General features: G+C 37.6%; 1 long non-coding RNA gene across 1 annotated transcript; it reads left to right on the top strand.

Moving 5' to 3' along the window:
• Positions 1-3,605: 3,605 nt before the first annotated feature.
• On the top strand, positions 3,606-11,410 carry LOC124901037 (uncharacterized). The gene is made up of 2 exons (XR_007058894.1): positions 3,606-3,879; positions 10,867-11,410. It is a non-coding gene; the product is annotated as an uncharacterized LOC124901037 (long non-coding RNA).
• The last annotated feature ends 2,511 nt before the right edge of the window (positions 11,411-13,921 follow it).

Here is a 13,921-nt window from a genome sequence, read left to right as displayed (position 1 = left end):
CTCCAAATTGCCTCCCTCCCTGGGTGGTGTTCTATGCTCCCATCCTAACCCTGAATCTTCACCCAATCAGAACCTAAGTCAGTTCTTGAGTGTCACAAAGAACACCTAATAAACCAATTCACCATGCAGTAATGGTTGATAATAGCTTTATGTGTGGCTCCATCAAGGATATGTTTATGCCACCTAGAGATACTGACTGGGTATTGTCTTCACTCGGATTGGATGTGGGTTGCAAGTGCCGTGGCTGAGGGGCATATAAGAGGTGCAAGTTAATGCAGAATCCCTTCCCAGAGCTTTTTAGTGTTTTAGGAAGATCTCTTCAACCTATAAAGAAAAATGGCATTCATATAAAGGGTTAGGCCCAAATGTAGAATAGACCCAGAGCCCTGAAAGGCCTTCTGAATTTGGGGACTCAGAAGCTCCATCTCACACACTCCTTGTGTAAGTTATGTCTTTGCCTCAAGGCATCCTTTCCAGAAAATCCCTTTAAAATGACTTTAAAATGTCAGCTGCCTGGGAAATATTATACTACGTTGATGTAAATGATGTCGGCTAGCAAACAACCAGCTTGAGAGAACAGAATAGGTGAATTTGATAACAACATAATGATGTAAAACAGAATCTACAAAGACAGGTGTGCAAGAAATACCACATTACCTTCTTTTCTATAAACTCATTTGTTTCAAGCAGGGTCTAACCAGGAAAACAGAAACCATTTTGAGTATCTACAGAAGTAATTGAATGCAAGAAATTGGTAACGTAGGTGATAGGAAAAGTCAGAAGCTAATCAGGAGATGGCACAGTAATCCAGAAACTAGCAACTGCGACCTCTAGCTGGAGAAATAAGAGAAGAGGCAGGGTTATTGGAGTCCAGGGCCCAGGCAGCATGGCCAGCCTGGTGAGAGCTGCGGCCATAGAGGAGAAACAACCACTGCCAAAGAAGCAATCTAGGGAGGGAGAAGGGGGAAATGTACTATACGTTCTCCTCTCCTGCCCTCCAATCTCCTTCCAGTGCCTTGCATTGGCCAAGTCTGATACACCTGCCATGGGAGCCAGGGAAACAGCCTACGGGGATCAGCCCTTTGAGACACTGAGGAGACTAGGAGAAGAACATAGAACGTGAATCTGCACTTGATTTTATTTCTCTTTAAAGGCCTTACTCTTTTGTAAAGTTCTTCCCTCATTCCCTCGAGCAGGGTCAAAGTTCCAAGAGCATATGCCAGACCAGACCATGAATGGGTGATGATGGCAGGGAGTGGAGGGGAGGTCCTTCGGATTGCAGTCATCTGTCCACAGAGGTTTCCTTTGTTCCTTCCTGGAGCTGCCACCTATGGTTCCATGATACAGTGCACAACCTGCCTATAGACGAGACGGCCCTGCCCTATACACTGGTTCCCTCCCTTTGGCTCCGGCACCACACCTGAGGCCAGAGGAATTTCCTAGATCTGGGACCATCCTGCTAAGCCTCACACATCCTCGGTCATTTATGTTTAGGGTATTATGGTGGTCCAAGTTCAGGGCTCAAATCCCACTGCCTTGGGACATACTGACTTCTATCCTCTTCTTTCCAGATACAAGGGAATCACTTCTTAAGGAAAATCCTTCCTCTTCATTTTTTTTTTCCCAGACACTCTGCCATTGCCAGCAAACTCTATTCTGTCTCTGGGGGCTCAGGTTGTTTTCAGTAAGAGCCAGAATGAAAAAATGATCTGCAGGCAACTCCTCTCTACCCTGCCACATCTCTCCCGAAGGCAACAAGGGGGTAAATACAAGTTGGAAAAAAAATCATAAATTAGTATCTCAAAATATTATCCAGCCATAGAAGTAAGAGACGGTTAGTATTGTGGACCAAGCTGAGGAGGAGAAAGGTGGAAGGAGCTTACTTTGGAATATGTTGAATTTGGTGACTCTGTGGCACATCCTCATGGAGGTGTCAAGCAGAAGGCCAGATATGTGGAGTGGGCGCTCAGGAGGGAAATTCAGGCTGCCCTTCAGCTCTTGCTAGACCACTTCTAACTCCACACTCACATTCTGCTTATTCATTATTTAAGCCTGTACATAATTGTTTCCTGTGGAGCATTCTTCTCCACCCCTCCCTCTCAGTCTAATTCTTTGCCATTCCTCAGATTTCATGTAGATGTCACCACCTCTAAGAAGAGTTTTCTGATTCCTACTGATATTTCTCATTTCCCTGGCCTAATACCACACAGTGCTGAAATATACTATCTCCCCCTCTAAACTATACATTCCCTGAGGTCTCAGACTATGTCTAACCCCCAAAGAAAGCCCAGAGACTGACATATAACAGGTGCTCAGTAAATATTTAGCCTATTTTTACTGCGAGGAGTGGGAGAAGAACCTGTAGTAAGGTCTGCTGAAGCCAGCTTGTATCTTGTATCTGGCTCAGAAGTACTGATTGCTAAATTTTCAGGAACTTTGCAAACTGGTTGTTAAATCATCAGTAGCTTGAAATCAGCTATGGTAGGAGTATTTACACCATAGAAATTGGCAAATTCTATAAACAGGGCTTCCCATTTCTCTCTAATCTCCCCACCCCCCAGAAAGCCAGTTTACCAGCATACCATTTGATAATCTTCAAAGGGCCCCTCCTGTGTGCGGAGGAGGACAGCAGTTCAGAGAATTAAAATCTGTGCTTTTAGAAATATTCTTTCATAGAAAGAAAATGTAATTAAATTCCATAATTTGCATAGAAAAGCCTATTTAACTCAATTATATCAATAAAAAAAGAAGATAGAAAATAGAGGAAACAAAAATATAACAGCATTATAAACAACAGAGAAATCACTTCTCAGTTCCAGCTTGCTGTGGGACCTCCGGTTGGTCACTAAATTATAAGCTTCTTAAGAAACTTGAGTTGTGTTTATACGTGTATCCTTTACAATATCTAGACTGGCACAGAACAGGTACTCATAAACTACCACTTGAATCTGGGCAAATTAAACTTTACTTCTGTTGGCCTCAGCCCCTTCATTCATAAATTAAGAGGTGAGAGAAATGGTTTTCAAGAGGGCCCAAGTAGCACCCCCTTTCCTGCCCCATTCCAAACAAATTGAGAAATAAAAGGCATAAAGGTGGCGCCAATTGTTTCTGTAACATTGGAGGACATAGTTTAATGTACAATTACAGTGGTTCTATTTTTTAAATCCCATAATTAGACTGATATACCTACCCAATAAGAGGCAAAACCGGGCCAGGCAGGCCTCCTCACATCAAAGCCTGCCAAGGTAAGACTTAGGTTTTAAGGAACAGAGAACACCTACTCCCACGCAGGCACTTTATTGCCAAGAAGGTAATGAAAACAGCTAGGTTGAGCATGCCCAGTTTAATTCTCCAATGAGATACTCTCCTCCTGCCTTGGGAAGGATATAGTGGAAAGGAGGTAGATCAGGTATGTAATTACCAGTGATACTTTCTCCATTAAGAATGAAACATTAGGAGTGAGGAAGAAGTCCTCCCCCTAACAATAGTCTTCAAGGTCCCTTCCAATTCTTATTTTTTAAGACATACTATGTGCCACACCTGTGTTAGAGTCTGGGAACCCATAGACAAGAGAAGATACAATCCTGTACTCAAGGACTTTAAGACTAAGTGAATAGGCAGACAAGTAATTATGCAATTACAATGTGATGTCACAATATTTCATGATTCTCTGAAGACAATTCTATGGGAAATTGAAGTCTAAGATGTCAAACAATTGATGCACAAACTTAATCAAGGTATACCAAGACCTCTGGCTTCTTCCCAGAAAGCTGCTAAATATCAGCAAGGACATGGCTAGAGATCTTGATTCTCGCTTTTTTTGATGTTTCTATGAAAGAACCAAGAGAGATTTCTTCAGCAGACAGTGTTTCCAATGAGGTAAGAAAATTACATTTGTATATCAGCCTTGGCCTATGATTTCTTTCTTGGGAAAAGCTAAAAAAAACAAGTCAGTACCCCTCACCCTCAAACTTACCTTCTGCAATTCATAAACACACACACACACACACACACACACACACACACACACCATCCTATACAGACATTAGCCAACTCAGGTCTACAAAAGCTGGGCAGGCAGTAAAGACTGGGCACCAACCCTTGTCCATGAGCCGAACCAATTCAGGATTCTAGAACCATTTAGAGAATCGAAGAATTTTTCCTTCAGGCAGAAGCCTAGAACAGTTAACATCAGGATATTCCTTGTCATAGCATGAGATGGGAATAGAGACCAGGCTCTATCTGTAGGAGTCCTGTAACTTCCATTTTATTGCCATAAAATAGAAACAGAATATGGTAATTTCAGTGGCTCTCAAAAAAGCCCCCTGTATTGCTAACTTGCTATACTGCATATAGCTGTGTGTAATATTCTGTAAATTTTTATTGAAATCACTGCAACAAAATAACACATGCAAGGTTATTCATTACATTATTATAAGAGAAACAACTTAAAATTCGTTAATTGGAAACTGATTAAAGAAATAATGATACAACTACTTAATAAAATATCATGCAAATATTTTAAAATGAAGAGGCTTTTTATAAACTGATACAAAGTGATCTCTAAAATATAATAGTAAATAAAAGTATGATGTAGAGCAAAGCGTTTTGCATGCTATAATTGTACAAAAAATGTGATGAAAAGAGTTCAATATGTCGAAATTAAATGGGGAGACTTCTCCTGGAAAGGAGTAGATATACTTTTCCCTATTCCTCCTGCAAAGTACAACCAAGAGTTGAGAAAATTGAGTTTATAATTTTAAAACTTCCAGAAAAGCAATTTCTGGGCCTAGATGGTTTCATTGAAGAATTCTACCATACATTTAAAAAAGAATTAACACCAATTCTGCACAATCTCTTCCAGAAAATACAAGATGCATGAACACTTCCCAGGTCATTTTATTAAGCTAGTCTTATTCTGATACCAAAACCACAAAAAGAGAAAAATCTAAAGAACATTATTTCTTGTGAGTGTAGAGGCAAAACGCCTCACAAAATATCAGCAAACAGAATTCAGCAATAAATAAAAAAGAAATATACATTATGACCAGGTGAAGTTTATTTCAGGAATCCAAGGGTGGGTCAATATTCAAAAGTCATTCATTGTTACCCACCATAGTTGCAGACTAAAGAAGAAAAACTACATGATCTTATAATTTACAGAAAAGCATTTAACAAAATTCAACACCCATTCATGATTTTTTAAAAACTCATAGAAAAATGAGAATGAAGAGGAAGTTCCTCAATTTCATAAAGAGTATCAACAAAAATCCTCAGCAGACATTATATTTAATGGTGAAAGAGTGTTTTCCCCCTAAGATTCCAGAAAAAAACGAAGTTGTTTGTTCTCACCACTCTTATTCAGCATAGTGTTGGAAGTTCTAGCCAGTACAGTGAACAATAAAGCAAGAAAATGAAATACAAGGCATACAGATTGGAATGGAAGAATAAAACTGCCACTGCTTGCAGATGATACGATAGTCTATATGAAAATCCCAAGGAATCTAAAAAAAAAAGTAAATAAAAATAAAAAAACATAAAAATACCTAAAACTAAAGTGAGTTCTGCAAAGTTACAAGAGACAAGGTAAACATACAACAATCTAATTATGATAAAAATGATTATCATTTATAATCACTCAAAAAAAGATAAATAGGCTGGACACTGTTGCTCATGCCTGTAATCGCAACACTTTGGGAGGCCATGGTGGGAGGATTGCCTGAGCTCAAGAGTTCGAGAACAACTAAAAATCAAAAAAATTAGCTGAGCATGGTGGTGTGCACCTATAGTCCCAGCTACTTAGGATGCTGAGGCAGGAAGATTCCTTGAGCCAGAGAAATGAAGGCTGCAATGAGCTATGATCACACCACTGCACTGTAGGCTGGGCAACAGAGTGAGACTTTGTCTCAAAATAAATAAATAAATACTCAGGTGTAAATCTAATCAAAGATGTACAAGATTTGTGTGCTGAAAACTACAAAACCTGGATTAAAGAAATAAAAGAAGATCTAAATCTAAATAAATTGGGAGATATGTCATGTTCATGGATTGGAGACTCATTTAGTAAAAACATCAGTTCCATAATTTATATAGAAAGGCACAATTCCTATAATGGCTAAAATAATCTTGGCAAAGGAAAATAAAGTGAGAGGAGTCAGTCTACCCTATTTCAAGACTTACATACCTATCATAACTAGGTGTTAATAGAGGAATAGACATATAGATAAAGGAAAGAAAATAGAGAACACAGACTCATGCAAATATGAAAAATTGCTTTTTGACACAGGTGCAAAAGCAATTCAATGGAGGAAAGATAGACTTTGCAACAAATAGTGCTAGAAGAACTAGAAATCTATAGGCAAAAAAAAAAATTGAACCTTAACCCAAGTCTTACACCTTATAACAAAAATTAACTCAAAATGAACCAAGAACTTAAATTTAAAATATAAAACTATAAAATTTTAGGGAAAAAATAGAAAACCTTGGGATCTAGGGCTAGACAAACCGTTCTTAAACATAACACAAAAAGCATGATTCATAAAAGGAAAAATTGATAAATTGGACTTCATAAAAAATAAAAATCATTTGCTTTACTAAAGACCCTGTTAAGAGAATAAAAAGACAAGCTAAGCTAAGGGCAAGGCATAGTATCTCACGCCTTTAATCCAAGTGCTTTGGGAGGCTGAGGCAGGAGGTTCACATGAGACCAGGAGTTCAATACCAGCCTGGGCAACATTGCAAGACTCCATTTCTACAAAAAAAAAAAAGAAAGAAAAATTAACCGGACATGGTGGGATATGCCTGTAGTCCTAGCTACTGATGAGGCTGAGGTGGGAGGACTGTTTGACTCCAGGAGTTCAAAGCTGAAGCGAGTTATAATTTTGCCACTGCATTCCAGCTGGGAAACAGAGTGAGATCTGGTCTCTTAAAAAAAAAAAAAAAAGACAATCTGACTGAGAGAAAACATTTGCAGAACACATATTAAACAAAGTAGTAGTATCTAGAATTTATAATTAATGGCTTCAAATTCAAGTTAAAAAAGCAAATAATACAACTTGAAAATGAGGCAAAGATACAAGGAGATTTCATCAAAGAAGATAGATCAATGGCAAATAAGCATATGAAAAGATTTTCAAGATCATCAGCCATTAAGGAAATGCAAAGTAAAACCACAATGAGATACCACTATACAACTATCATAATGGCTAAAATAATAAAAATAATGACAACAACAAATGCTGATGAGGATGTGGAGAAACTGAATCACTCATACATTGCTAGTAAGAATATAAAATTGTTCAGCCACTCTGGAAGATACTTTAGACAAGCAATCTGGAAAAAAATTAATATGCAACCACATACAACCTAGCAATCACACCCTTGATCATTTTTCCTAGGGAAAGAAAAACTTAAATTCACCCAACAACCTGTACACAAATGCTTAGAACATTTAGCCTTATTCATAATATACAAAAATTGGGAAAAAAACAGATGTCTTTCAACAAGTGAATGACTAAACTATGGTGCATACACACCATGGAATACTGCTCAGCAATTTAAGAAAACAAACTATACATGTAACAACCTGGATGAATCTCCAGTGAATTACAGTGAAAGAAAAAACCCCAATCTTGCAAGGCTAAAAACTGTATGATTTCATTATAACATTATTCCATTATAACATTATAGCATCACTGAAATGACAAAATTATAGAAATGCAGAACAGATTAGTGTTTGCCAGGGTTTAAGAAGGGAGTAGGGGTGGAAAGGAAGTGGATGTGGCTATAATAGGGCAACATGTGGGATTCTTGTGATTCCATAAATATTCTGTGTCTTGGCTGTATCAATGTTAATATCCTGGTTGTGATGTTGTACTATGATTTTGATATTGTACCATAATATTAACACAGTATCATATAGTCCTATACTATAAGTTACCTTTGGGGGAAGCTGGGTAAAGGGTATATAGAATCCTATTATTTCCTGTAACTGTATGTGAATATACAGTTATCTCAAAATAAAATGTTTTTTAAAACTGAAGAAAGATAAAAGCAACACATATGCGTATTTAGAACATATCTCTAGAAGCATAACCAAAAAATGGACAATATAATTTTTTGTTTTTTTTTAATCGAGCTGGAAGTGACAGAGGCTGTTGGAAAGGATTTGGGGGTTTACCATGTCTCCACAAAATCTAAGAAGGAGGTGATGTGGTACAACAGGAAATAGGCACAGATGGCCATTGACTTTTAAAAAATATTTTTCTTCCATCTTTTGTTTTAGATTCAGAGGGTACATGTGCAGATTTGTTATATGGGTAAATTGCGTGTCGCTGGGGTTTGGTGTACAAATGATTCTGTCACCCAGGTAGTGAGCATAATACCTAATAGGTAGGTTTTCAATCCTCACCTTTCTCCAACCCTCCACCTTCAAATAGCCCCCGGATCTATTGTCCCACTCTTCGTGTCCATGTGTACTCAATGTTTACTCACTTCTAAGTGAAAACACAAGGTATTTGATTTTCCATTCCTGTATTAATTTATTTAGGATGATGGCCTCCAGCTGCATCCATGTTGCTACAAAGGACATGATTTCATTCTTTTAATGGCTGTGTAGTATTCCGTGGTGTATATGTACTGTGTATTCTTTATGCAGTCTACCATTAATGGGCATCTAGGCTGATTCCATGTCTTTGCTATTGCAAAAAGTGCTATGATGAACATACATACGATTGTGACTTTATGGCAGAATGATTTATATTCCTTTGGATGTATACCCAGTAATGGGATTGCTGGGCCAAATGGTAGTTCTAAGTTCTTTGAAAAATCTCCAAACTGTTTCTGCAGTGGCTAAAATAATTTACATTCCCACCAGCAGTGTGTAAGCATTCTCTTTTCTTCCCAACCTTGCCAGCATCTGTTATTTTTCAACTTTTTAACAATAGCCATTCTGACTGGTATGAGATGGTATAGAAGAATCAATATTCTTAAAATGGCCATACTGTCCAAAGCAATTTACAAATTCAATGCTGTTCCTATGAAACTACCGATGTTATTTTTCACAGAATTAGAGAAGACTATTCTAAAATATATGTGGAATCAAAATGAGCCCAAATCACCAAAGCAATCCTAGGCAAAAAGAACAAAGCCAGAGGCATCACACAACCCAACTTCAAACTATACTATAAGGCTACAGTAACCAAAACAGCATGATAGTGGTACAAAAACAAATACATAGACCAATGGAAACAGGTTAGAGATCCCAGAAATAAAGCCACACACCTACAATCACCTAATCATCAACAAAATCAACAATAAGAAGCAATGGTGGAAGGACTCCTTATTCAGTAAATAGTGCTGGGATCATTGGCTAGCCATATGCAGAAGATTGAAACTGGACTCCTTCCTTTCACCATATACAAAAATCCATGCAAAATGGATTAACTACTTAAACATAAAACCTAAAATTACAAAAACCCTAGAAGAAAACCTAGGAAATACCATTCTGGACATAGGCCTTGGTAAAGATTTCATGATGAAGACTCCAAAAGCAATTTGCAACAAAAACAAAAATTGACCAATGGGACCTACCTAAACTAAAGAGCTTCTGCACAGCCAAAGAAACTATCAACAGAGTAAACAGGCAACCTACAGAACAGGAGAAAATATTTGCAAACTATGCATCCAACAAATACATAATATCCAGAATCTAAAAGGAGACCTAATAAATTAACAAGCAAAAAACAACCCCATTAAAAAGTGGGCAAAGGACATGAACAGACACTTTGCAAAAGAAGACATACGCATGGCCAACAAGCACATGAAAAAATGCTCAACATCACTCATCATTAGAGAAATGCAAATCAAAACCACAATGAGAAGTGGAAAATATTAGTTATCTTTAGGGAGAAACAGCTGATGGCCTGGGGACAGGGTTGGGAGGTAAACTTTTCATTATACATTCTTTTGTATGTTTTGAATTTTGATTATGTAAAATAAATGCCCATTTTAAAAAATTAAAATTTTAAATGTCAATGAAACATTCTCAACCAAAGCTTGAGACTTTCCAATTGCTAACAGTCTTGATTAATCTGTTAACTTTCTAGTCAGAAATTATATGAAGTTTTTTAGCTTTCTAATAATGAAGCTACTACAGTATTGCAACTTGTTACTCTTCCCAAGCACTTAGCCAAAACCTTTATCTTTTGAAATTATGATTTCAAAAGATCTCTATACTCATCTCTATACTCATTCTTTTCCTGAAAAAAGGAAGTTAACAGAAAAAAAAAGCTTTGTTCCTATTGCTGTAAAATATTTGCACATTTATGGGTCAGTTGAAGCAGCCTTGACATCTTATCATGTCACTCAATTACTTTACAAGATACAATGTGATACAAATCTCAGATGATAGCATGGACTTTGAAAGCATACAATCTAGGATTTCTAGACATGTGACATTGTTCAAATTATCTGACCTATCTAACACTGTTTCCTTATCTAGAAAACTAATATTCATTTTTCCAGATTGCTTTCAGTATTAATATAACTTATATACCTGAAATGTGGGAGAGGCTTAAGGAGAGCTAAAATTATAGAAAGCAAAAGGCTTAGTTCTAAAAAACAGAGACCCACCAAGACAACTAATAGTGGGAAGGCTTTATGGACACATACGTCAGAAAACAAGGGCACCTGTGAGGTAAGCTAGGGAGAACAGACATGGCTCTATACAGCAATGTAAAGTGTGTCCCATCTTTCCATATTATACTGCAGTTAAGAAATAGTTTATGTTCCTTAACATGAATTTAGACTAGAGAAACAAACATATTTAGGGTACAATTTAAAAGGGTTTTCCCCTCTCTGTTGTAGTGAATTTTCTTTAATAACTCCAAATTCTTCAGGGAAAACTTCCACCCACACAGCAGTGATGACTGCTGGTGCTCTGAGGGAATTACGGCACATAGTAATAAAAGATGTATAGAATTTCTACATCAGCAACGTGAAGTCCAGCCCAGCACCCTAGTATGGAGAACAGATGGAGTTCCAGAAGGTAGAAGCCCATACCGGAACTGGGGGCAGTGGAGGGGATGCCATGTGGAAAATTGGTTGCCAAACTGAGGCCTCAGAAATGAATGTGAAATAAACCTTCTCCTTCACAAATATTGTAGAGAGAGTAGAGCCTATGAAGTTGGAGGAGGTTGCCACACGGATTATACTCAGTAGACACAAAGCATCTCAACTTACTACAGGAAAACCACCTTTAATGAAAGCAACCACAGTTCCCACATTCACCTCTCCCCTTCTTTTCTTGGGTGCTTTCATTAATTGCAAGTAAACTTTCAAAGTCAGAGAACTATCAGCCGTATAGCCACCTAACGAAATAAGACAACAAATAAATGTGAATTCATTTTAACAAGTGAATGCCTATTAAATCAGTAGATCAACACTGGCAAAATGCTGTATCTATAGTGCTCCCACTTTAATTGAGGATGGCACCAACAGAGCCCCAGTTCCTCAAGACATCAAGTGAGTGTACATAAAACCAAACTTATGAACATATAAGTGACATTTCCTTAATATTTCATATTTCCATATTGCTTCAACAGCCACATGTTAGATGTGTTTCTGAAATAATGTTGGTAAAGAAGAATTATTCAAAATAAATATTTTACCATAAGTTTCCAGTTGCTATTTAAAACTCCCCACAATAACATATAATAACTTGAACATTCACGTCTCAAAGTATTCTGCCTTTGTCAATGCATAATTTACATGCACTAAAGTTCAAACTATAATTTAGTTGAAAGGACAAACCCAGAACTTTCACATACACATTTAATAACAGTACACATAATGTACGCTACAAGGTGATTATCATATCTCAGACTTCTTCCAGTTCTGAGAGACTTTTATATTTAAGCGATCATCCTACCTAAGCTTTCAACAGAATTCATGACTAGAAGACTCACAGGGACATAATGGTACGGATCCTGATGTTCACTAATCTCAATCTCGCTACAGTTATTTATGAATAAGATAGTCGTATTACCTTCTTCTGTTACACGAGACAAAGGCTTGGAAGTGTTAAGAGGTATGCAATTAGGAAAGATGAACTAGTGTTCAAAATCACCTTGCAGTTTCTTTTCTCTCTCATCCTAGGCTACTGTTTGTGATTGTCTAAATAAAAGGATTCATCCACGCATTCCCTGGAAAAATTTACTACCCAAGTTCACACAGGACAAATTTGGAGTAGAAAATCCATTTAATTACTTCTCTTGGGAAATATCGCTTCTGGCAGAGAAACTAATGTGATATTAGAAGGCTGCTTATTCGGAATTTGTGTAAGAACTACACATACCACGTTGGGTTTGAGCAAATTATCAGGGTCTCTTTGTTGGCCCACTGGAGTCCTTTTTCCTGGGAAATGCTGAAGACAAGAGTCCTAAACTGTTCCCAAGCCCAGGTTTTCTCTCCTCCAAGTTACCCTTTCTGTTCTTTGAACATCTAAATATTTACTCAAAAAAGACTCCTTACTGTCTTACAGAGAGAGACTCTGTATTAACCTCTTTTAACATCTGACAGCTTCTAGCCTTTTAAGGAAGTGATACCTCCACCTATCACAATTTAGCAAGTTTAATCTATTATACAAGTTATCATGTTAACTACCATTAGCAAACAGTAGGACAACTGTGACTTCCTTACAAGGCATTGTGATTTTTGTACTATCACCTTACTGATTACTCTTGAAATGTAAGCCCATCTTTAATACTTAACATCCACAACATCCACAAGTTATAAAACTGCTTTTTGGTTCATGTGTTCTTCAGTAACAGTAAGTAAAAAACTGTCTTTAGAGACACTCTACATATTTTTCAACCCTTTTGTCATCACCAGGAAAACCTTTGCAAAATGAAAACCTTTGTTTCTCAGTGGTAAATCATCATAGACAGAAAGAGTTGGTTCTTGAAATCACACTGTGTGTGCTTTAGGTTGGTCCTTAACTCAAACCTGGTGTGTATTTGCGCATGTGTGTGTGTGTGTGTGTGTGTGTGTGTGTGTGTGTGTGTTGGGGGGGCTGGGCGAGAGAGAGAGAGAGAGACAGAGACAGAGAGAGACAGAACAAAACAGAAAGACAGACATAGAGAAACAGGCAGAGAGACAAAGAGACAAGAGATAGTGCTACATTCCTGGAGTGTAAACATCTTTTCTTCCTTTAACCTAGCGTAGCTTTATCATATCTCTTTAGTCACAGTTTTTGTTCTTGCCTTTCCGTTGCTGCAAATCCTGGACTGGCAATTTTCTTTCTTCCCACAACCTGGTCAGATACAGCCAATAGCTTTGTGGTCAGATTCTTTGCTCCCTGAAATCTCCTAACCCTCAAGATATTCAGCACAGGCCTGATAAGCATTGAATCACTGCTCAGCAATCCTCCAGGTCTTGTGAAAAGCATAGGTCTGGGACCATAGCTTTTTTTTCCTTTCTTTCATCCACAATATTATTCTGTGCTAGTACATAGTAAAGTGCTCAATAACTGTTGAGAGAAGGAAAGGAGGAGGGAAAGAAGGAAAGCGAGCACATTTGGCAAGTGATTTGACAAAAACCAAAAATCTGGGTACTTACATTTTAAGACATGGTATAAGAAAGTTGATAGAAAGAAAATTCTGATACTTAGGCAATCCGATCCAAAACTTTGCTGTTTTGTGTATTTGTGTGTGTGTGTGTGTGTGTGTGTGCGGTGTGTGAGAGACAGAGGGAAATACTAACACCAGTTCCGGGGTGGTGGTGATGATGATGATGATGATGATGAAAATGATAATTCTTTCTTAACTGAATTTTAATAGGAGTACCAAAAAATGAGAAGAGAACAAAAATTGTGGCTGGCTGTAATATACTACTTACCATCATCTACATGAACTGCTTGCTG

Source organism: Homo sapiens, chromosome 5 (assembly GCF_000001405.40).
Source record: "Homo sapiens chromosome 5, GRCh38.p14 Primary Assembly".
NCBI lineage: Eukaryota > Metazoa > Chordata > Mammalia > Primates > Hominidae > Homo > Homo sapiens.
The sequence above is the reverse complement of the archived record's forward strand: the minus strand, read 5'-3'. Positions and strand labels throughout refer to the sequence as shown.